Source organism: Homo sapiens, chromosome 2 (genome assembly GCF_000001405.40).
Source record: "Homo sapiens chromosome 2, GRCh38.p14 Primary Assembly".
NCBI lineage: Eukaryota > Metazoa > Chordata > Mammalia > Primates > Hominidae > Homo > Homo sapiens.
The window spans coordinates 77,985,466-78,012,578 of NC_000002.12; the positions used below are offsets into that span (position 1 = coordinate 77,985,466).

At 31.4% G+C, this 27,113-nt stretch overlaps 2 long non-coding RNA genes across 2 annotated transcripts in view; both read right to left on the bottom strand.

Annotated features, from left to right (window-relative positions):
• The window catches only part of LOC101927967 (uncharacterized), a 547,036-nt gene that overhangs the window by 241,770 nt on the left and 278,153 nt on the right, over positions 1-27,113 (bottom strand). The window lies entirely within an intron of this gene.
• Positions 2,337-13,670, bottom strand: LOC105374816 (uncharacterized). Its single transcript, XR_940264.3, has 3 exons — positions 13,511-13,670; positions 12,613-12,652; positions 2,337-3,313 (listed from the first exon to the last, which is right to left on the bottom strand). It is a non-coding gene; the product is annotated as an uncharacterized LOC105374816 (long non-coding RNA).

A 27,113-nucleotide genomic window follows, 5' to 3' on the forward strand; every position in this document is an offset into this window, starting at 1 on the left:
GTCAGGTATAAATCATTAAAAATAATGCAATGGCCTCAAGGTAGTTAGGTAATAACATTACTTATAGCTTTCTCAAATATAAGGAAAGTTACTTTGTTATTAATAATTTTATTAAAAATATTTACATCTATAGGGAATTATCAATATAGGGAATATGGGGAATTCTCAACATGTCTAAAGTTCACAGAACACATTTATGAAGCACAATTTGATTCTAAAACAAAAGCGTGTGCATACACATATATATGCAAACCTGGGAACTATATATGTAAATATGTTTAGTTTTTTGGTTGTTGTTTTTTTTTTGAGATGGAGTTTCACTCTTGTTGCCCAGGCTGGAGTGCAATAGTACAATCTTGGCTCACCACAACCTCCACCTCCCAGGTTCAAGTGATTCTCCTGTCTCAGCCTCCCGAGTAGCTGGGATTACAGGCATGAGCGACCACGCCTGGCTAATTTTGTAGTTTTAGTAGAGACAGGGTTTCTCCATGTTGGTCAGACTGGTCTCGAACTCCTGACCTCAGGTGATCCACCTGCCTTGGTCTCCCAAAGGGCTGGGATTACAGGCTTGAGCCACTGCACCTGGCCTAAATATGTTTAGTTTTTAAATGTGTTAGATTACTTTTGGATTTGATTATCATGTTTTACATTTCTAAATTATGAAGCATTTGATATTTACAAGTTGTTTATTAGTATGATAGAAAACATATATCAATCTACCACTTAAACCAAGAAATATAACATCGCACTTCTAAAATATTTATTCTTACTTGTTTATGTTGCTTAAAATTATAACTGACACTACTACTTTTTGTAGTAATAACTATTTCTTTCTGGTATTTTCCATGTTTTCATTTTCAATAATTTTGGTAATATTTTTAAGTGTTCTTATTGCAAATGCCCTAGAGCTGTTTTTCCCCAAAATCTAATCTGAGAATTTATGTCTTTTGTAGGGAAATTAAACACATTGCATTTAATATAAAAATAGACTCAATTTAAACTTACCTATATATATTATTGAATTCTTTTTTATGACTCCTTTCTTGTATCCTACATATTACTTTGTGGATTTAGTTTTATTTTGCTGACTGATTTTATTTTGTTTTCTTTCAGATGTGTTCTACAAGTGTTAAAATTCTTCAGTATTTAAATCATTGAGCATAATTTTATTTTTTCCTGTTTGGATGATATTTTGACCGTTTGTAGATTTGAAATTCAAAATGATTTTTTTTCTGCAAAAAAAAAAAAGATTTTGCTCTGTAGTCCTCTTAAACCCCGTTTTGCCAATATGTTAGCTAATAAAAATCTGTTTATTTGTTGTTAGGAGCTATTTTTCTGTTTTTATTAATTATTGGTATATCTTTGACATTGTAAATTTATTGCAACATATCAACAAGATGTTCTTTTTGTTTTTCTGCTTTTTGTTACAGGTATGTTTATTTGCTTCATTTCCAGAAAATATTTTCCTATTATTTAATAGATTATCCAGTCTCTCTTCGTTTATTACTCTGAAATATTAGACAAATCTTGAAACTTGTGTTTAATTTGATGATGAAAAAAGTTACTTTAAACTAAGATTATGTAATAACCATGAACCTGTTATATCCTAAAAATCAGGTTTCAAAATATATAATGGTTAACAAATGCTACTTCACAAAAATTAACTCAAAATGGATCATACACTTAAATGTAAAACACGGAACTACAAAATCATAGAATATAACATAGGAGAAAATCTAGATTTGGTGAGATTTTTAATACAACACCAAGATATGATCCAGGAAAGAAATAATCGATAAGCTGTACTTTATTAAAATTAAATTTTTCTGCTTTATGAAAGACACTGTCAAAGGAATAAGAAGACCAGACACTGAGAGAATATATTTGCAAAATATATGTCTGATAAAAACTGTTATCCAAAATAAACAAAAATTTGTTCAAAAGCAACAATAAAAAAATAAGTTGATTAAAAAAATGTGCAAAACACCCAAACATATATCTCACCAAAGAAGATATACATTTGGCAAATAAGCATAAGAAAATCTCACATCATGTGTCATTAGGGAAATGCAAATTAAAACAATGAGGTACCTCTACAATGTACCTGTTAGGATCACCAAAATGCAAAACACTGGAAACACCAAATGCTGGCAAGGATGTGGAACAAGAACTATTACACAATGTTGGTGGAAATGCAAATTGTGTAGCCACTTCGGAAGACAGTTCGGCAGTTTCTTCGAAAGCTGAAGATACTCTTAGCATATGGCCCATGAATTGTACCTCTTGGAATTTACCTAAATGAGTTCAAAACTTATGTTCACACAAAAACCTGTACATTGATGTTTATAGCAGCTTTATTCATGGTTGTCAAAACTTGGAAGCAGCCAAGACGTCCTTCAGTAAGTGAATAGTAAAATAAATTGTCGTACCTTTAAACTACAGAATATTTTTTCAGCATTAAATAGAAATGCCCTATCAATCCATGAAAAGACAAACAATCCTTAAATATATATTATTAAGTGAAAAAAGCCAACCTGAAAAAGCTACATAATATATGATTTCAACTATAGGGTCATTCTGAAAAAGGCAAAACTATGGAGACCATATACAGATCAATGGTTGCCTAGTGTTAATGGAAAGGGAAGGCTGACTTGGTGGATTACAGAGATTTTTAGGACAGTGGAACTATTCTGTATGATACTATGATGGTGGATACATGTCATTCCAAACACATAGAATGTACAACGTCAAGAGTGAAGCCTAATGTAAACTATGGTATTTGGTGATGATGATGTATTGTCAATGTAATAAATGTACCACTGTGGCACTGGATGTAGGTGGTGGGAGAGGCCGTGCATGCACGTGTGGGACAGGCGGGGGCTATACTGCAAATCCCTGAACCTTCTGCTCACTTTTGCTGTAAACCTAAAACTGCTCTAAAAATAAATCCTGGAGGACATTTTGAAATACATCCTGGGCCAGAATGGAACTCACTGCCTTCAAGGAAAGGACCCAATTTTTGCAGAATTCATCATGAGCTAACTAAAGTGCCCTTGGACCCTCAACAAGCAGCAATGGTAGCTGGGCAGTATTCACTGTGGGCCTTGGGTGACACTCAAAACCATGCTGACTTCAAGTGTGAACCAGCACATAGCCAGCTGCGGTGCCTATGGGAAGAGACCCCTTCCACTTGGGCAAAGGAGAGAGAAGAGTAAAGGAAACTTTCTCTTGAGCTTGGGTTAACAGCTCAGCCACACTGGCGTCTTCGCTCCTTGATGACATTTCTGGACCTGTCCTGGGACAGAGGAGAACCCTGAAAAGAGAGACTTAGTGAGGTAGGAGAATAGGACCTGGAGGCAGAAAACCTAAGGACTTCCTAGAACTCAATCAAATGTTAACACGTCAGCTATGACAGGAAATATCCTCTTCATTTACATAGGGCATACACCAAGTAACCAATGGAAACCTCTAGAGGGTATTTAAACCCCAGAAAATTCTTTAACCACGCTCTTGAGCTGCTTGCTCAGGCTTGCTCACACCCAGTGGAGTGTGCTTTCATTTTCAATAAATATCTGCTTTTGTTGCTTCAAAAAATAAATAAAAATAAATAAATAATAAATAAATCCTATTCAAATTATGAAGACATATATGAAAGACATACAAATGTCTGGAAATTTAAAACCTTGTAATGCAGATGAGAGAATTCAATAAGAACAACAACAACAAATCTCTCAAAACTTCAGATGACTTAGAAAAAACTAACAAAGCATACAGGGGATTTTTAGACTGAATTCGCAACCTTCTCTAACAATTTGTACTCCTTGCAAGACACGTGTTTTAAACACACAAAGAGCAATGACAAAAAATAACCATGTAATAAGTCACAAAATAAATTTCCACAAACCTCAAAATGTTGAAATTGTAATATCATTATAAAACTAAATAAATAAGATAAAACTTTAAAAAAATGGACAATTCCCTGCCTAATTGAAATTTAGGAACATTCTTTTTTATTTTTTTTATTATTATTATACTTTAAGTTCTAGGGTACATGTGCATAACGTGCAGGTTTGTTACATATGTATACCTGTGCCATGTTGGTGTGCTGCACCCATTAACTCGTCATTTACATTAGGTATATCTCCTAAAGCTATCCCTCCGCCCTCCCCTCACCCCACGACAGGCCCCGGTGTGTGGTGTTCCCCATCCTGTGTCCAAGTGTTCTCATTAGGAACAATCTTTTTAAAAAGTAAATATAACTTGTTCATTGTTATTTGATTCCCTAAAGTGCTTGTCTTTCTGATCCTATTCACTTCTTCCTCTTCACTAAACAGGTATACTGACATTTTCAAAATTATTACTCTGTTTGTTTTTTAATAATGTCTTGAACATTATTAAACATGTAATAGATACATGCATGTATCTATAAAACTATATTATATATGTTTTGTTACTTTTTTACATTTGTGCATGTTTTCTGTCTGTGTATTTTCCTCTGAATCTTTCTTTTTAATGTAAACTTTTGTTTTTAGGTTTGATTCATTTTCTTGTATAAAACTATTCACACACACTATATATAGGTATTGGTTTATATATATACTATGTATATAGGTTTATATAGTATATATATATATATATACACTAGATTTTAGTTGCATTTTTATTATTTTTTATTTTAATTTTAATTTTTTGTGGGTACATCGTAGGTGTATATATTAATCCGGTATAGAAGATGTTTTGATAAAGACATGCAATGTGAAATAAGCACATCATGGAAAATCAGGTATCCATCCCCTCAAGTATTTATCCTTTGAGTTACAAAGAATCCAATTATACTTTTTAAGTTATTTTAAAATGTGTAATTAAGTTATTATTGACTATAGTCACCCTGTTGTGCTATCAAATAGTAGATCTTATTAATTCTACTTTTTATGTGCCCATTAAGATACTTAGACACTACTCCATTTATCTGTTATCCAAAGAGTGGACACTGTTATCCAATACAAGTGGATACTCCATTTATCTGTTCTCCAAATAGTGGACACTTGTATCCAACAGTGGATACTCGTGTCTTCCTTCTGGTGCATACTGAATGCAGGCAAGGGAAGGTTAAAGGTAATTTAGGAGACAGATTGTTGGGATTTAGGGTCTGTACACATTTACAAGAATATGACAATTTTTCCTCAAATCAGTTTTTTTCAACTTTTACTCCCAACAATATGAGCTTCTTTTGTTTTTTAAATAATTCAAAAATTAAGTTTTCAGAGTTAAATTTGCCATCTTAATGGGTGTGAATTGTATTTTTGTGTTTTTTTATTTACTTAATTATTTAATGTCAGTTAAATTTTCACTAACATTACTAATCATTTCACATTTATTCATTATGGGTGGTTCATATCTTCTGAAATGCCTGTTTATTTCTTTTGCCTACAAATTTGTACATTGTATTATTTTTTATTTGTAGGAGATTATATGCATGTAAGTATGTAGTTATATGTCTGCATGTTTTAAATAATAACACTTTGGTAATTATACGTGTGGCAGGTGTAAACTGCCAATGGCATTATTTGGTGTTTTCTTATGGAATATTTGAAACATTAGAACATTTTATTTTTATTTTATTTTATTTGCATTATAGAAAATTTTATTTATTTATTCATTTAACCTTTATTTTAGGATCAGGGGTACATGTGCAGGTTTGTTCTTTATCCTGTCACAGGGATTTATTGTACAGATTATTTTGTCACCCAGGAACTAAGCCTAGTACCCAATAGTTCTTTTTTCTGATTCTCTCCCTCCTCCCACCCTCCATTCTTAAGGGGGCCCCCTTAAGTAGGCCACAGTGTCTGTTGCATTTGAACATTTTATAATTATAATGCATCATTTTATTTATGGTTATCCTATTTTTTTAGTTAAGAAATTATTTTCTATCCTGAATTACACAATAGCTTTCTACATTTTCTTGTAAATAATTATTTTGACTTCAAATATTTCATTGTCTTAGAATTATTTTTGTGGCATTGGGTATGAGTCAATTTTTAAAACATTTTTTAGATATGAAAAATATATTTATATTGAACCATCATTTCTTTTCATCTTCTCAGATGGTACCTTTATGATCATTAAAGTTCCACATGTATGAGTGTGCGTCTAGGCTCCCTACTGAGTGCCACTGGTCAATTTGTCTAGGTCTGAAATTTACATTTACTCAATCTTCTTTCACAACGGTCTTCAGGATTATTGGCCTTTTTTCCTGCCACACAAATTTTATGTTGAATTCCATTCAAAACTCCACCAGAATTCAATGATATAGCATAAACCTGTGTGTCATTTTGATGTTTTTTACTTTGTTAAAATATTAGGTTTTTATATTTATGAAGAAATTATATTTCTGTTTACCTATGGGCTATGTAATGTATTCCTACAGTTAAATATTTTCCTCTGATAGGTTGCAAGTGTTTTATTTGATGAATTCCTTGAGTTCTTATTTATGTGGTTAAAAATTTTATTCTTTTATTCCATTTTTTAATGCTTTGTCTCTAAGCATAGAGACATAATTGATATTTGAATGTTTGTATACTGACCTTTTTGTCTCTATTTGTTATTTTATTTAACTTTAATACCTTGGTTTATTCCTTTCTGATTCTTACAAGTGTTACATTTGATTTTAATTCTTCCTAAGCACTTTAGGACCTCCCATATAATGATGAATGGAAGTAGTCATAGCGCCTATTTTAATGTTGCTTCTGATTTTAAAAATAAATTTTTTACATTTCAGTATTAATGATACTGATATTTACTTTTTGATTTTTCCAGATGCTCTTTATTAGGATAAGGAAGTTCCTTTCTATGCACCGTTTGTCAAGAGTGTTTTAAAATCAGAAATAGTATTGAATTTTTTCACATGTATTCTCTGGAAATTCTATATTGATCAATATTTTTCCCTATATTCCTGTAATCTATTAATGTAAGGAACTATGTTGATTTAGTTTATACAAGTAAACCACCTTGTATTCTTGAAAAATCCAACTTTATGCATATATATATATATATATATAATGCTTGATTCAATGTGCTAATATTTTATTTAGTATTTTAGAATTTATTTTTACAGGACAATTTTGATTACAGTTTTACATTCTTTTACTGTGTCTATTTAGTTTTGTTTTGTGTTTATTTATATGATGATAAATATGAGAAAATTAATGCTTCAATAATTAAATCTGTGGTGGCAAGTCTCATTTTTTCATAAGAATGTTCAAAAGTCCAAATGTAAATTATTTAAGTTGCATGTTATAAATAATTCACAATTAAAATCTAAGTTGGAAGAGTCATCATTAAAGGATGCCTACCATGAGACTTTCTTAATACAAACAATTGATCCTTGATTTACCTGGTTTAAGATTGGATACTTAAAGTTTTCTTCTCACAGGAGAGTGAATCCTTTGAATTTTACATTTATATGCAACCTCCTGGAGGAAATATACTCCTGTCATAGATTTTAAGATTAATAATAAATTATACCTTAATTTTAATGAAGTTCATTTAAAAGTGAACCAAATGACTACTTTTGAAGATTTGATATGTAAATAAAATTGTTGAAAATGTATATTTGCTTTATGCGAAAGGTTTTATCATATAAACATATGGTTGATGGTAAATGGCTGCATTTCATAGTGAATTATTCTCAAGCCCTGGATACTTTATGTATTGTGTCCATTATATTAAGACACATAGCTTTGTGATTTTATCCAAACAAACTGGAATAAGACATATTCTATTTGTATTACTCATTTCTGACATTATCTTAAGCTACTTTTTGATCTCAGGAAGGATAATTAAAGACTGCTTTATGTTACCAAATTCTGTCTCCATCCTATCCTAGTCACAAAGCTCCACTATATTTTCCAGGATTCTTTCTATTTAGGGAAACAATACGCCAATATTGTGTGGAAAAAAGTGATGAATCCTGGCCTGTAATAATTTTTACATACTCCACTCACTATCTTCTTCCAAAGTCTGGCCCATGAAAATTTCCCAGGCTAGCTTTCATACTTTTTATTTTCCTTTTCTTTTATTACCACATTCTTTATTTGTGAGGACATTTTTATTCAAAGTCCCGTGACACCCATGATTTATTTCAGGAACAATATCATTCAAGATTGTGTAAGGCTGTGGCATTCCCTTCCGGGAATCACTACAATCTAACCATGCACTAGTAGGTATTTCCACCTTTGAAGTAACATTTTCATCTTTATTCTTATATTCTGTTGTGTCCATAAACTGGCTGCTTACCAGGAATAGATCAAAAATGAGCAAGCTGTTTTTATTTTGAGTTATATTCTATATCCTCCCATGAAACTTACCAAACTAGACAACCAAACAAATTGCTCTGTAACCATAAGTGAGAAAAATATACTTATAAAACTACCTGGATGATAAAATGTAGGCAATTATCCTTATCATCTGTACAATGTTGGATGCTAATTTTTAAAATCAATAATAAATAGATTTTTACAAAATTATGACACGTACCAAAGGTATATCATTTTTAATCCTACTGTCATTAAATACTATGATTGCATCATTTCACTTTCCCATTTGAAGCCTAAATTTAAAAATGGGTATAGAATTATTTTCACTTAGGAAGCATGATTTAATTTACATAAGTCAACTTTTACACTCAAGCAGAATATCCCTTTTTCCCTCACTTAATGATGAATAACAACCCCCTGCAAATGGTGATATAAGAAGGGTGTGCAGGAGATGAGGCTGATTTTGCTCACTCGCGTTATCTTTCGGTTTGACTCATTAAGATTGGGTAGCCCATTAGTCCACCAAATCTTCTTAAACACCCATGAACATATCATTCTTTGTGTTTTTTGTTTTTTTCTTTGTTTTTTGAGATGGAGTTTCACTCTTGTGGCTCAGGCTGGAGTACAATGGCACAGTCTCGGCTCACTGCAACCTCCACCTCCTGGGTTCAAGCAATTCTCCTGCCTCAGCCTCCCGAGTAGCTGGGATTACAGGTATGTGTCACCAAACTCGGCTAATTTTTGTATTTTTAGTAGAGACGGGGAACATTTTGGTCAGGTTGGTCTCAAACTCCTGACCTCAGGTGCTCCATCCGCCTTGGCCTCCCGATCATATCATTCTTAATACTGTCTTCATGTGTATTTATTTTGTTGGAATGATCTCTGTTTCCTGTTTGTTTATACAAATGTTACCCAATATTCCACTCATACACCCTTAGGAATTCTTCTATTTCTAATAAAATACACAGTAAACTTCCTTTTCCTTGATAATACTATTGAACTAACTAGAATTATTCTTCAAATTACTGACATATATTTTATGATAAATGTATTGCAAATATTGTGATTTAGATGATGTAAATATTTATAGTGTACTGATCTTAAATTTTCAATTTCATATTCCCTCCTTGCTGGTGAAGGTCATATTTTTCATTTATTCTAGATTGCTCTTAACTCCTGCTGCAGAGCTAACAGTATAAAAAATGTAATAGAGCCTTCATTGATTAAATAATTGATTGATTTTTGACTATCCAATACAGATGGGAGAATTCCACTTACCATAGTGATCATCAATCACCTTGTAAAAAAATGAAACATTAAACTAGGCATTGTTAACTTGCTTACCTATTTTGTTTTGTGTTTTTATTATTACAGTGGGGATTGCTTCCATTCAATAATGCCATTAGACAGATAACTGATTCTATATGAATTCATAAATCTTTATTTCATCATTTACAGAAACTGTACTTTGCAACCTGGGAATTCATTATGACTTTAAGACCTACAAAATTTCCAAGAAACATAGATTCAGTATAAAAATATTGTATCTAAGCAAATTCATTAAAACTCCTATTCATCTCAACCTTACTGTATATTAATTAGTTTTATTCTAAGCTTTCCCAAGGGTAGAATTAAATATGCTCATTGCTACTCTAACTCTGGCTGATACTCCATTCCATTCCAAATGAGGAAATTACTTTTCTCATAACAGTATCATCAACTGATCTATTATTTTGTTACTGATGAAACCAGAGTTGGCTTTTTATCATTTTAATGTAGAAGTTTTATATTTTATGCACATGTGTAAGTGTTTTCAATATAGCTTATAAATACATTGAAGCTTATTAAGAAAAAAATTAAAAATACAAATAGTACTATCCACAGTATATACAAAGGATAAAATATGTCTATTTTTATGTTTTATGTCTATTTTATGTGTGTATGTTTATGCTTGTGAATGTGTCTATATATAAATATGTTTAAATATAGATACAGATCTATAACTACATAAAAGGTGACAAAATTTGCAAAGAAAGTTTTGACAATGATAACTTCTAGGGTGAATACAAATGGAGATATTTATATTTTACTAAACATATTTCCATAGTTTAAAATATTTCACAAGAATATCTGAATACATTATCATATAGTATATGGAAAAATAACTACGTGGAGCTTTTACCTTGTTTAGAAAAATATTTGTGTTTCTACTTCTATGATTTTATTTTTTAAAATCATATAAACCTGCTGAATCATATTTTATAATTATTTTGATAGAGATTTAGTTCTTTAAAATTAATCATTAATCTGTTGTCATAAAATTATTGTATTGTTAAATGATTTCTGTTCCCAATTTTAACTACTATATGAATCAAACACTAAGCACATGGATATGCAACTGGACTCTTAATACCATTTGGTACATTAATGAATGAATCTGGAGCCCTTGTATTATTTTAGATATAGTAACATTATTGAATATTTGAATGCTTTGCAGTGATGAAATTCTCTCCTATTACTTGAGGCATAGCTAAATACCTGCCATTATGTATACAAATGCATTGACGTCACCCTGTCCTTTCTATCTGTTCTACCTTCAACTTGTCCATTGGATTCACTGCCTAGAGAACAACTCAGAGAAACCATACTTCTGCTACTAGCTGCTATGAAAATACCTCTGACATGGAAAGGGTGCAGTTTCTGAATGCCCATATTGCTTCCAACATTCATGATGCCAGAGCATTGCTGCGTTATAGACATACATGGTAATAACTGCTCCTCCCAAAATCTATATGAAACTTTTTCACCTGGATTCCTAAGAAGCCTTTCTTTTTCCTCAATTGTCACAAAGTCTTATTTTAACATATATTTTAACCACTAATGAGCACAATTTGATCAAATTTTTATCAAGCTACTTGTGAAACAGATTTATAAATGTATTGGTTTCTGGTCCTTTCTCCACTACTCATTCAACTCAATTAAAGTCAGGTTCCTAATAGGAAATAGATCCATGTCAGTGTTCTATTTCCCTCCATGTTCTCACGATCTTGGCATCAATCAAAATTAAAATTTCCTATATTAGTCTCAAAATAAAATCTACAAACATTGACCAAGAGAAATACATATTGGAAAAGTAGAAATCTGAGAAGAGGTTTAGAAAGAAGGTAATATAACGTGCATCTGGGTCTCATCTCAGCCTTTCAAAATTCCTCAGTGTGATTGTTATATTTCTTTAATGCTGGGAAAACCACATACATATAACAAATATCTAATACATTTACATACACTTAAAAATATATAACATGTAAACGTGTGTGTATGTATGTGTGTGCATATATATATATATATATATATATATATATATATGGAAAAAATGTTAGAACTATTCTCTCTCAGGATATAAATAACATGGGTCTTTCAAAAGAATCGACAATATAAACCAAGATAAAAAACTGTGAATTTAAGAAATACATTCTTTTAAAATTATATTTCCAATAATAACAACAATAAACAAGCCTTAGGTAGCAGTATTTGTTCTAAGGCTATTACAGAAAAATAGTGAAATGTCAAAATATTCATATATGTAGAAAATCCAGAATAATTTATAGGCAAACTACTAAAATCAATAGGAAATTATCATTGCTGGGTTCAAGTTTAATATTTAGAAAAAATAATTGTAGGCTAGGTGCAGTGGATCACACCTATAATTTCAGCACTTTGGCAGGCCAAAGGTCGGTGGATTGCTTGAGCCCAGGAGTTCGAGACCAGCCTAGGCAACATATTAGGTTAGTGCAAAAGTAATTGTGGTCTTTGCTATTACTTTAATGGCAAAAAACGCAACTACTTTTGCACCAACCTAACGAGTCCCCACTTGTTAAAAAATAAAATGTATATTTACAAGTCAGCAACAACAGAAAATAAAAACTAAGGTAAAACAACAGTAGCATTATTAATGGAAATCATTACATTAACTCTCAATACATTAACTATGTAACAAAAATATATAAAAACCTATAAATTAAAACAAGCAAATATTGCTGGGACAAAGTGATTTCTTAATGAATGATTTAAAGAAATACTCAATATTGTAAGGTATAGAATTTTCTCAATTGAATATACAGATTCAACATAATTGTAATTAAAATCCCAAGGAAAACAGAAATTGATAAGGAAAAAGCATATTTATAGAATGAATGATATGGTTTCATTACTTGATATCTATATTACATAGGCATAAATTAGACATGCAAGAAAAATACAAAGTAGATAGGGTTCTAAGGAAATGTCGATAACTTACTCATAGATATCAATATCCAGTTTATGGCAGCCATGTTGAACTAGGCAAAAATAGAGATGATGAACAAGTTATGTTAAATGAATTTTTAAATTATATGGTATAACTTTTAATATAATAATTATATTAGTAATGATACTATAATTGATGTAGACATGATTTGATTAGATACATTCATCAAATGGTTTTTAATAAGACATGTTTAAAGAAACAAAATTCAAAGTTGAGAGGCCAATTTAAATACAAAATGAGGCCATATTATAGCAATTAATAAAATAAAATAAACATTTACTCTGAAGAAGTCATGCAATCAGAGAGTGCAAAATTTCCTTAATTCCTGGTTAGGGAATAATAATTACATACACAGCACAAAAATTGAATAAATTTTCAAATGAATCAACCAACCAATTAGTCAACTTAGAAGTCCTATCCTATGCATTATTTTCCTTTTGAGAATTCCTGTGAAAGATCCTAAGTGAAGAAATCAGAGAGAAGAGAGATCTGAGTTAATATCTTTTGTCAAATCTAGCTTTGTGATTGTTGGCAAGTAATTTAAACACATTGAATATTGTTTCTTTATCCATAGGTGTGTACATTTAATTCTGAATATATTAAATTTTCTCTGTACATATACATACACACACAAAAATAGTTCATGTGATAAAAGACAAAATGATATATTAAAATCAAATATACACTAAATTTTGGCCAATAAAATATAATTATAGTTATTATTAAAGTGGTTGTAATTGAAAAAAAATACCAAAAATAGGCCATGAAAACATGATAATAGCTAAAATATATTGAGTTCACCATATGTCACTACTGGTTTCTTCCCGATAGAGGTACTATAATCCTGACACTTCCTTTACAGAAGCACAGGCAAGTTAAGTAAACTTACCACAGAGATACAGCTATCAAGATGAGGAGCATGCATTCTAATCCTTTCAGGTGGTAGATTTCTAGCTTAAAGAAGAATTTTCAAATTGGAACATAACTGCAAACATTAAAATGTACAGATCCGAACTGTTCAATGAGCTTTGACAGTTATATACACTAGGGTAAACACTGCTCCATCCACATTATAGAACAGCTCTTAACAGCTCAGAGGCTTTCCACAGTCAATCCCTATTCCTGAGAAAATAACCAATGTTCTTACCTAGCTTTGCCTATTCTTGAATTTCACATAAATGAAAAGATGGTACATAATATTTTGTCTTGGCATCTTTCACGCAACATAAAGTTTTAAAGTTTTATCTATATTGTTGCCTATTTAATTGCCTATTTTTTTTATTGTGAACTAGTATTCCCTTGTATAATATGCCACAGACTCCTCATCCAGTCTTGTACTGATAAACATGTGAGTAGTTTCTACTTTGGGGGAAGGAGGATAATTCATAAAACTCTAACTATTCTTTTACAGGTCTCTTTTTGTGGACCTATGTTTCTCTTTAGAAAGTAAATAACTTGGAGTAGAATTGCTGAGTCAGAAGGTAGATGCCAACTTTTCAAGAAACTGGCAAACAGTTCTGCAAATGGTTATACCATTGCACACTCCCATTAGCAATAAGTGAGTTATGATTGTCCCACATTTTCCTCCAATTTTCGTGTTTTCAGTCTTTTTAATTTTAGTCATTCTTGGGGGTGTCTCATGGTTTTAGAAATCCAGCTGTTAACCACCAGGCTCTATGTCCTTAAATATAATGCTCAAAACCATTCTAATTTCAGTGAATATATTCCAAACCACAATAAATTCCTGAAGATAGCAGTCAGGTTAAAAGGCATGGTATAATTTCAGTAGAATATTAAGAGAAAGTATTAAACTGTTCTCTAAACAAAACATGGTACTGCAGTTACAGAAGATGACTGCCTAAGTTCAAATTTGACTTTTCCCCTTCAGACCAAAATAGTAATTTCTTTCATATTATGTATGATTCACTTCCTGAGAGGATAGCTTAACTGAATGAAGCCCAGATCCTTTTAATTTGACCCCAAAAGCTAGCTTTATTTTCTTTTTTTAGGTGTTTGTCCTCAGGGTTCCTGTCAAAAAACCTGACTATGAGACTGCTAAGAGAAAAAGATGGAAGAGACAGGTACCACAGGTAAAGAGAGTAACGCTGTGTGATAAATCCTCCAGGGCCCAATTACCAGCTGCAAAATTGAGTAAGTCATATTCATTTTTGACTTCAGACATTCTATTTTCAATTTATTTTTCTGTCATATCACAAATATTAGAAAAACATTTTATCTACAACTCGAATTAATGTTTTCATTGAAGATAGCATATTATATAGTAAGTTATTCATTCCTTTTATTAACTGCAGATAATTATAATTTTAATTCATTGTTTGCCCTAACTTTTGGTACTAAAAATCAGAGGAAATGTCTACAAAATGTATGCCTTAAAAATAGTATAAGAACATCTGAACCAGGGAATACTTTCTAAAAAAGAAAGCAAAAATGAAAAAAAAAAAACTCTATCTATATAAACTTTTACAAAGTTTTTTACTCCTGTTTAAAACTGGTTCTCATCACAATTTGGTAAGAAAAACTAATGTAATCATTTTTCTAAAAAATAATCACTTGAAAACTTTTTTTGGTAGTTTATGAATAGACAATTTTATCACGATTTGAAGAGATGAGGTGAATCTGCTGTTCTATTTGTCTTCTTAGACCAAGGTATTATTGATTCTGACTTTATTAAAACAATAAAAAAAAGAAACCAAACAGAGTGAGTTATTTTCTCAAATGGGTATATGGAAGAATTTCAAAGAAAACAGACTAATTTACACGTATCAAAAAAAAGAAAGATAGTGTTTAATATGATGTCCATTTTTTAGTAAATGTAAAAACTGTGGAAAGAACACAGAAGGCATTGAATTCCAAACACAAATCAAAATAATAGAGAATTATGATTATGATTGAGAATAATGATTATATTAAATATGTGATAGTATATATATCTGAAATAAATGAAGAGAGCTCATCAGTTTTAATGTGAGAAACTAAACTGTACTACAAATTATTTCAAAATAATTTGATACATTAATATCTCAGTATATAGTAGATACTTCATACTTCTATGTAAACCACATTCTATCAACAATTTACAGAATTTACTATTTATTTGAAGATAACAGTCAATTAAACATATCAATTTACACCAACAGGTTGTGAGGGTCATTTGGTTGCAGATGTCTTGCCATCATTATTTGTCTTGATTAGTCAGCATTCACTAGGTAGGCTGATGCCTTTTTCTTTCCCTCCCAACCACACATACCTACATACACTTTCTCAGTATAGTAAAGAGAGAAGTTTTCCCATAAAGAAAAAAATTAAATAACTCTCTGTGTTAAAGATCAATTAAAATAATTTTAAATATTATTGAATATAGATTATTTAAAAAGTATCTTCATAACTTTTGACAACTCTAACAACTATCATAAAATAGTTAAAGAGTGGACACATCAACATTTTTTATTGTGACTATTTACCTGAAAGTAATTAAATCGTTGACTCTTGGAACTATTAGTGGCACTTAATTATCAGGTCATTAATATTTAAGAAGATGAAATAATTAAAAGATATGTTTGTGTGTGCTATTGTTGCTTAATCATATGATAGGACCTCCACAAACTCACTCAATAACACACAGATTCTGTAAGCTAAAATATCTGTTTATTCTCAGAAGAGGAGATCCTGTGCTAAAAGAAAAATGAATACCTATACTGAATGATTTCATTCCATATTTGGGTCTAGTCTTTTTATACAAAGGCAAATTTCACTGGGCACAGTAGCTCACGTTTGTAATCCCAACATTATGAGAGGCCAAGTTAGGCTGATCGCTTGAGGCCAAGAGTTCAAGACCAGTCTGGCCAATATGATAAAACCCCATCTCTACTTAAAATACAAAAATTAGCTGGGCATGGTGGCACATACCTGTAATCCCAGCTACTTGAGAGGCTAAGGCAAGAGAATTGCTTGAACCTGGGGTTAGGCGCAGAGTTTACAGTAAGCAGAGCTCACACCACTACACTCCAGCCTGGGCAACACAGCCAAACTCCGTCTCTAAAAATCAAAAAGACAAATTATGTATGCTGTGTCTTTGAGTAATATTTTAGCCTAAAATATTGTTACTTGATACTTTTTTGTAACCCAAATTTGTAAAGATTTAGAAATTTCGAGATAACACTTATTTTTTATGCCTTCCATGAAATTTTTACTTAAGTTTACACAGTATTATACTCTGAGTTTTCAGTGAGTTTTTCACTATTGAAAGAAGATTGGAGGCAGGTAAAGGGATGTTGATTACAGCGAGTTTGTGTTGTCAACTAGCTATTTTACGCTGTGTCAGTGTAATCTGAACCATCTAAGAGTAAAATGACTCAATCAAATACAATCATTTGAGATGTAAAAACAAAATCAGAATTTATGACTTCTCAAAAATGTAATTCAGAGAATTATGACTACTGTGGTTTCTCAAAGTTAAATGAAAACAAGACAGTGTAATTTAGGTCAAATTCCATTTTATATAGAAATGAATCATTTTATAAAACATTGGTTTAAAACATAAATAAAGCAAAACAAAACTCTGTATTGTCTCATAAAATTGCTAAGTTGCTATAATTTTTAGTGAATACTAAACATGCATCTTTTCTTTTATAAATAAACAGAACTTTGCCAATGTGGTTATGGGAAAGCCAGAATGTAAGATAAAAATTTGCTCAGATTTTTTTCCTATCATTATTTACAGCTAGAAAATAAAGATTGTCATTTCCCTGTTGGTTTTTGAGGTTGCTGATAATATTATCGTAAAAATGATCACAGGCCTCAAAAGGATTTACTGTGAATTTTTGGTTTGAGGGGTGTCTTGGAGAAGAAATAAAACAGAAATGAATTTCAAAGCTCTAAGCTAGTGCCGGATATATTAATACACATAAAATTTAAAAAATATATCTGCGGCCAGGCGTGGTGGCTCACACATGTAATCCCAGCACTTTTGGAGGCCAAGGCAGGTGGATCACCTGAGGTCAGGAGTTCGAGACCAGCACGGCCAACATGGGAAAACCCTGTCTCTACTAAAAAAAATACAAAAATTAGCAGGGTGGAGTGATGCGTGCCTGTAATCCTAGCTAATTGGGAGGCTGAGGCAGGAGAATCACTTGAACTCTAGAGGCAGAGCTTGCAGTGAGCAAGATCACACCACTGCACTCCAGCCTGGCGACAGATTGAGACTCTGCCTCAAAAAACAAAAACAAAAACAAAAACAAAAAAAACTCCAACAAAAAACAGTATCAGTAGCCTTCAAAGCAGCCTTTCAGAAGTTCGCAGGAAAATAATTAATGAATACACAAAAATAGAGAAGTAAACATAAAAAAAAACTAACCATGAAAAAGGCAACATCTGGGAAGTATTAACAATAATTTTAATGTAGAAGGAGTCAGATTAATAAGCAAACTTGCTGGTTTTTAGGTCTTTCTTTTTTTTAATTGAGACGGGGTCTCGCTTTGCCATCCAGGATGGAGTACAGTGGTGTGAGCATGGCTCACTGCAGCCTCAACCTCATGGGCCCAAGCGATCCTCCCAACTTAGACCTCCAAGTTGCTGAGACTACAGGCACATGCCACCATGCTCAGCTAATTTTTGTATTTTTTTGTAGAGACAGGGTTTCTCCATGTTGCCTAGGCTTCTCTAGAACTCCTGAGTTCAGGCAATCTGTCAGTTTAACTTTTCAAAGCTGGGATTACAGTCATGGGCCATTATGACTGGCCCAGTGGGTTTTTTTTTTAATATTGCAAGTGAGCTTTATTAAAGAGATGATGCCTGAGACCCACCTATCTACCTTTTTTTTTTTTTTTTTTCGCTAGGACATTAGTAAACATGACACAGGGCATCTGCCCCTTTCTGTGTTATAGATTTTTTTAAGTTGGTGAAATACTATTATATAAGGACTTTAAAAAATGGAAAACGCTGGCTCTAGACAAATATCATTTTGTTCAAAAAATGAATACATTAGCGGAAATGCAAAGAGAATGATAACATGAAGCCAATAGAGAGGAAATGTAGAATGGGGAAAGAGGAAGAGCATTTGGGAATCTCAGGAGTTATAACACTGTTGTAAATAGCAGAAAATTGATTAGCACCTTCAAATATATTAGAAGCAAATATAGCCTTTTAGAAAGAGAAAAGAAATATTATAAGGTGAAAAACAATTTGAGACCAAGAACACTAGGTGAATTCCAGGTGAAGATGGTTTCTGATCCAATTTTGCTCTTCATAAACTCCCACTAATGCTATAGTAAAGCAATTATCTCCTAAATAGGCATAAATTTCATGAGTGTAATGAAAATAAAAAAAGAAGCAACAGCAACATAATGAGGGAATTCAGATGGAATAGTAATAATTTACATAACAGCACTAAGAAAGCCAAATACTATTTGAACAGAAGGAAAATCCAAGAAACAACTCAACTTACTCCATAGAATTATCAAATGACTTAGATTTTGGCGGTGCCATGTACCTCAAAATTAGGGTGACAGTGGGAAGAAGACCTAAAATACTATGAACTATTATAAGCTCATATAATAGACTAATATAAGCTGTTTAGAAACAGTTAGATCCATAAATTCCCCTCTGCACCTTATGTTCTCAACAACTAATTCACTCTCCTTTTCCAGACACATTGGAAAGAACTCCTTCCAGTCCTCCTGACTAGAGGAAACCAGGCACAGGTGAGGGCTGGAGCCAGGTCTTCAATCTCTTGGTAAGAAATTTAAAATGGTTTCTTTAGGAAATGTGAAAAACAGTTTGAGGGGAAAGATCAAAAGGCGATGACATAAGGCCTCCTCCAACAAATGGCCAGGAAAGCTCACAATTGATACACCCATTTATTTACTTGGAGAGTATGATTAACTCTTTAGTCATCTACTACCAAATGTTAAAGGAAATTATAAAGATGATGCAAATAATTCACACTTCACCATATCAAGTCTCTTTGTAATTTATTGCTTAATATTTGACAATGCACTGTGAATGTGTCTTAATGTTATTAATTAGTGGCCTTTGGTTTTAGCTTCAATAACTCCCTTTAGTAATTTCTCTAACGCAAGCCTAGTGGTGATGAACTTCCTTAGCTCTTGTTTGTCTAAGAATGATTTTATTGCTCCCTTATTTCTGAAACACAGCTTTGCTGGGTAAAGTAATATTGATTGACATTTTTTTCCCTTCAGAACTTTAAATATATGATCCTACATTTTCCCGGCCTGCAGAGCTCTTGCTAATAAATCTTTAATAATTGTTTTAGAACTCCCACACACATGATATGTTTTAAACTTTTGTGGCTTTCACAGTTCTTTGTCTTTTATTTTTAATAGTTTCACTGTTATGTGTCTTGGTGAATTAACTTCAGGTTGAATATAATAGTAGATCTGTGCACATCTTTTATCTGGATGTTGGCATCTTTCCTCAGATTTGGGAAGTTTCCAGCCATTATTTCTTTACATATACTTCCTGGCTCTTTCCCCAGCCCCCATCTTTTTTTTTTTTTTTTTCCAGAAACTCCTATTCTGTGAATATTAGTTATCTTGATGATGTCTGATAATACCTGAAGGCTTTCTTCCTTTTTAATTGTTTTACTTTTTTCATTTCTGACTAAATAATTTCATGTTTTGTTTTCAAGCTCATTCTTTCTTTTGCTTGATCCACTCTGCTTCTGAAGCTCTCTACTGAATTTTTTAGTTAAATCATTGTGTTCTTGATCTCTAGGATTTCTATTTTTTATTATTTCTATTTCTTGGTCAAATTTCTCAATGACTTCATGTATTATTTTTCAATTTCATTTAATTTTCTTTCATACATTCTTGTAGTTCACTGAACTTCTTTAAGAGGGCTATTCTGAATTCTTTGTCAGATCTCTATTTCTTTAAGTCCATTGTTAGAGCTTTATTAGTTTCTTTTGGAGGTGTCATAATTCTTCATAATCCTTGTGTCTGTACATTGGTGTCTGTGCATTTAAGAACACAGCCACTTTTTTCATCTTTACAGGTATTCTTTGACAGTGATAGACCTTCACAGAAGGTACCATTACTTGAATTCTGGAATTGAACGGTATTGCATATTGGGTCCTGGGGTTAGATAAAGTCCTTGCTCAGGATGCTTGGAACCAGGTACTATGCTTAGTAGAAATACATGGTTGATGCTTAGCCTCCTGCCTTGGTGAAGCATAGGGGTAGGGTTTGAGGCTGAATTGAGGCACTGTCAGAAAGCCAATTGGCTCAAGCCCAGTCCCTGCGCTTTGCCAAAAGGTGCTGTGGTGGGTATTTCCTTCCTTGGGAAAGGTGTTGAGTGGGCTTTGAGATTGAGTCAATATGCTGTTTGAATGATCAGGTGGCTGAAGTCTAGCCTCTGTACTTTGCCAAATGCACTGTGGTGGGTGACTTTCTCTTTGAGTGAGCTCTTGAGGTGAGCTTTGACGTTGAGCTTAGCCACTCTTTGAACTCCCAGGTGGTGTACATCTAGACTCTGTGTCTTGCTGAAAGATACTTTGATGGACATCTCTCTCTCTAAGTCAGGTCTTCAGATTGGCTTTAAGGTTGATCTGCTATTTGAATGTCTGGTGGCACAAGTATAGCACCTGTGCTTTTCTGAAATAAAAGTATCTCCCTCACAGGTATCTCCCTTACAGGCCTTGGGATGGTGTCTAAGGTTGGGTTTGGAGGTTAGCTGTCTCAGGACTTAAGCCACATTAAATTTCCAGGAGGCTTCTAGAAGTGACCAATTTGGCTTTACTGGTGAGTAATGTCACCGGTGCCTCTTATTGGGTACTTCATGGGCAGTAGTAACAGAGAACTACAATCAAGATCCTGGTTTCTATGAGAAATGCTTCCTTCCTTTGTTTCTGTCTCACCCAGGTGGTCTAGCAACGCTGTTACCCTCTGTACTCCCTATGAGGTGAATCCAAATTAGACTTCCTGAGAAGTGTCTTGGAATGCTCGGGAAATAGATGTCCATCTCTGGTTTTATTTTTCATCTATAGGAACTAAGGGCCTCAAAATGAATCCTCTCTGTGTGACACTGTGCAAACTTGGGGGATGGGAAGGGACTGTGTGTTCAAAGTGAGAGGAATGGTCTCCTATCCATATAAAGCAGGTTTTATTCAGTTCTATGTTTCACAGAGGTATCTCAGGCTTATTTCCAAGTTTTTGGAAACTTGAAACTCCTATTCTGCCATCTTGCTGATGTGCTCCCTGAATAACCTTTTTTAAAATGAGCTTTTTTAGAAAATGAAAAGCGCTCTTGGAATCTATAAGTATAAAAAATAAAAAAGATATTAAAAATTTAATATAAATTTTATAAGACAGAGTTGAAGAATTTTCTGAGAAAATATGAAAAACACAAAGTTTACTGAAAACAGGCTTTTAAAAATTAGATGACCAGTCCAAGAGGTTTTTACAAATAAAAAAGGAGGTTCAGAACTATTACAGAAGGAAAAAAAGTAGAAAAAAATTTAAAAAATAATAAAAGTTTAAAAATATTAAAATATTTAAATTATTTTTTAAAATTTCAATAATAATAAAAAATTTAAAAAATAGTAAAGTTTCCTCCTTCAAAAAAACAACACAAATGAAAAGCCTGCAAAGAATATTGAGCAAAGTAGTTGATAATACACTCATTCAAGTCACTTGTGAAATTTCATAAAAGAGATAAAATCATTCACATACAAACAATGAGAAATTATTATTCATTTAAATTTCTAATTAAATGCTGAATGGTCTAAACAATTAAATATACCTTTTCAATTATGAAGCAAAACTGTACCAGACTATAATTCTCTGTCCAACAAAATCATCACTTAAGGGTGAGCACAGAATGAAGATATTTTCAGACGTGGAATGGTTCAATAAATTTATTTTCCCTATGCCTTTTTTCAAGAGCCCATTAGACATGTTTCTCAGTCGAATGAGGGAGAAACTAAAAAGGAAACAGGAGGTGCCAAACAAAAGAGATTCCTGAAACCACAGATAGTATCAAGCCCTATATAAAGAGAATTCCCAAAGAGACAGTTGAACGGTATTCATAAAATGCAAACACTTCAGATTGTGGCAAATTATAAAATTACAGACAAGTGCCCAAAATCTATGCCAAAAAAGGCTAAAAACTAAAAATCTTAATTTTGAGTCTATGGAAAACTGATATTTGTGCAAATAGGATAGAAGTAGTTATAATTTGTTATGTAGCTTATCTCTGATTATCATACATAGTTCTTTTTAAACCTTTAATATTGAGTGAAACATTATTATTTAAACCTTTAATATTGAGTGAAACATTGCTATATAACTATATTATATAATAACTGTATAACTATATTAATATAATATAAAAAAAGACTGAGTGGCCAAAAGGAAAGAGAAAGAAATAAAGTGAAAATCTTACCTTTTAAAATGCCTGAAACTTAATATTAATATAATATAGTTATATAATTATTATATAATATAGTTATAATAACTATATATACTATATTATATAGTTATACTATATATACTATATTATATAGTTATATAACTATTATATAACTGTATTATATAGTTATATAACTATTATATAACTGTATTATATAGTTATATAACTATTATATAACTGTATTATATAGTTATATAACTATATTATATAACTGTGTTATATAGTTATATATTATATAACTATATTATATAACTGTATTATATAGTTATATATTATATAACTATATTATATAACTGTATTATATAGTTATATATTATATAACTATATTATATAACTGTATTATATAGTTATATATTATATAACTGTATTATATAGTTATAAAACTATATTATATAACTGTATTATATAGTTATAAAACTACTATATAACTGTATTATATAATTATAAAATTATACTATATAACTGTATTATATAGTTATAAAACTATACTATATAACTGTATTATATAGTTATAAAACTATACTATATAACTGTATTATATAGTTATAAAGCTATACTATATAACTGTATTATATAGTTATATAACTATACTATATAACTGTATTATATAGTTATAAAACTATACTATATAACTGTATTATATAGTTATAAAATTATATTATATAACTGTATTATATAGTTATATAACTATATTATATAACTGTATTATATAGTTATATAACTATATTATATAAGTGTATTATATAGTTATATAACTATATTATATAACTGTATTATACAGTTATATAACTATATTATATAACTGTATTATATACTTATATAACTATATTATATAACTGTATTATATACTTATATAACTACATTATATAACTGTATTATATAGTTATATAATAATGCTTCACTCAATATTAAAGGTTTAAATTTATTAATATTTAATACATAGTAATATATAATTAATATTTATTATATAATTAATATATTAATTATCCCACCTGGAATATTACATCACCCCACCAACCATGAGAAACATGAGTGGGAAAGTGGTGATAGGATAAGAGTTTTATATTAATGAGCATATCTCTGGATACAAACATAAATCAATAGGAAAAGAAATCCTCAATCTCTTCTTGCCAATACCTACCTTTTAGTTACTTAGTAGCCAACTCCATTATCAGATCAACTGTCACAGTATTGCAGTAGTTGTGTTCAAGTAACCCTATGTTACCTAACAATGGTCCCAAAGAACAAGAGTAGTGATGCTGGCATATTGTTATAATTATTCTATTATTAGTTATTGTTTGTAATCTCTTACTATGCCTAATTTATAAATTAAACTTTATCTTAGGTATGTACATATAGAATAAAACAGTATATATAGGGCTTGATACTATCCATGGTCTCAGGCATCTACTGGCCATCTTGGAACATATCCTCTGTGACTAAGAAGGGACTATTATATAAAATTGCAGACAGGAAAAAAAAGGTCGAGTGGCCGAAAGGAAAGAGAAAGAAAGAAAGTGAAAATCTTACCTTTTAAAATGCCTGAAACTTAATCATTGTAATTATAATAATAGCAATGATAGGAACAGGCATAAGTAAAAGTGAAAGTAGTTATAAATATAAAAATATGCCATGTTTTCCTAGAAATAGAATTAAATGCCTAAATAATTATCTACATTACCTGGAGACTATGAAGTTGTAGGTGAATTGGGCTGCACAAGATATATTATAGTGACAAACCTTGTAGAAATAAATTTTTCTAAAGTATGCACATACATGTTTGACAAAATTAAAATAAGAACAAGAGAAAAAAACAATAAAATGGGAACAAAAGGAACATGATGATCTCAAAAAAGCAGAAAAATGAAAAAATGTAATATAAGTACTTAAAAGAAACTAAAAGCACTTCAGAAAAAATACAATTTGCGTTGGAGTCAGTAAACATTTAGGATGAAATAGAAATAATCTTTTCTAGAATTCACAGAAAATTATGAAGTGATAACAAAATGAGTCTGTGAGAGATAATATGACAAGAGGATAGAAAAATACAATATAATACTTTCAACTAATGTATAAATGGTATTTTTGAAGTATTAATTATAAATAGAAGTAATAATAAAGTTGTAATAAATATCTTTCCTGAGCTAGAGACTTTCATGAGCATTTCAATAGTAGTATCTGCTGTAGGGTCAAATCAATGAAACTTAGAATACTAATATAACTAATAGCAAATTTTCTGAAACCTTAAAAAATTATTAAATGTTAACCCATAAAATAGGCTACCTACAAAGAAAACAGACATAGAGTCACTGACTGTAACAATGAAAATAAGACAAAAGGGAATGGATATAAATTCTATTTTAGATATTTTTAAGGTAAAAGGACTGCAACATCTTTTGAGAGCTTTAATTAAAGAGCCATAAGTTAAACACAGATTTGAATTTAGAAAAAAATGGAGAAATAGACAATTTATTCAGGTATACAGATACAAAATGTTACCTTTATACCGATAAAAGCTTGAGTTTGGGCACAGTCCTTAGATATGCAGGAAAAATGGGTTTCTTGAAAGTGAATCTAAAAATTGGATTTACTAATCCAAACCCAAGAAGGGCTGAACCAATTGCAAGCCTTCCTCAGTGGGTGTCTGACCCTGCACATTTAATTACCAAAAAGTAGGCAAGAATTGCACACTTTTCAGAACTGTCTGACTCTAAAGAGAAAAGAGAAGGAAGAGGCTCAGCTACCCTGATTGTATTTCAACCCCAAGATGTTACTCTATTACATCACTCCACTACATCACATATGAGAAATATAAGTGAGAAAGTGGAGACAGTATAAGAATGTTACATTAATGAGCATATCTCCACATATAAACGTAAACCAATAAAAAAAGAAATCCTCAGTCTCTTTCCCTCATCACTAACACTCACCATTTTTATCTAACTAAGTAGCCTCTGTGAGGGAAAAACAAAGACATTCACAGTTATTAATTTGCATACAGTTGTATAGCGCTGTGTTTAATAGCTTGGGTTTTCTAGGCTTCAGACTTAGGTTTGAAACTGAGCTCTCTCATCTTCTATCTTTGTATCTTTGGCAATCTATTTATCTGAGCTTCTTCATTATAATATCTACCTTGGAGGTTTAATGAGCAGATTAATTAAGATGTGGATCTAAGAATGTTAGGAAGTATGAGGAACACAGAAATAGCTCAATTCAATGTTCATCATTATCAGTAACAAGGGTTGAAAAATAAAACTTGAAAAAACTTCTTAAAAATAAGTACTTAAAAGCATACATTTTTTCAGTCTAAGAAATAAACAAAGAAGCTGATGAGAAGAACTCGCCAAAGGGGAACATAGCTTGCAATAGGGACTGAGGCATAAAACTGTTGAAAAGAGATTTGAACGTAGTTTTTTAAAATAAAATGTTACAGTTTTGTAAATATAACCAAAATACTGACAGTGAATGTGAAAAATATAAAGAAAAAATACAAAATAAAAGTCGAATATGTCAAAACTTAGGAAAGTCTGCTCTCTAGGCAAATCTAGGCTTTGATATTCTGAACAGCATAAAACAGAAATTGGAGAATACTAAAATACATAAAACAATCTACATATTTATTCTCTCCATATCCCTAATTAATCACAAGACTTGTTTTTATTCAGATGTTTCTGATATAGCTTTTTGCCCTTTAAGTTGGGCTTCTACAATCAAAGGAACCCCTTATAATCATTCTGGAAGAGAAGTCCTTCCATTCCAATAAAAGTTTTCCCTGTGACTTATAGCTCTATTTTTATAAGCAAGCGAGGCCAGAAGATTGTTTGAAAAAGGAAAATGAGGAGAAGCGGTGATTCCCACTTACTTTTTTCACAAAGGGCAAAACACGGGGCTTGTGGAAATATCCAAAGAAAAAATTATTTTCTTTGATATGCTGTATTTTAAGCTTTGCTAACTTTTTGTAACATTGTCATCTAACAAGCCAGATAGCAAGTAAGCATTAGGCTCAAACAGAAGCTGGCCTTTTGGGAGGAATAAAACCTTAACAA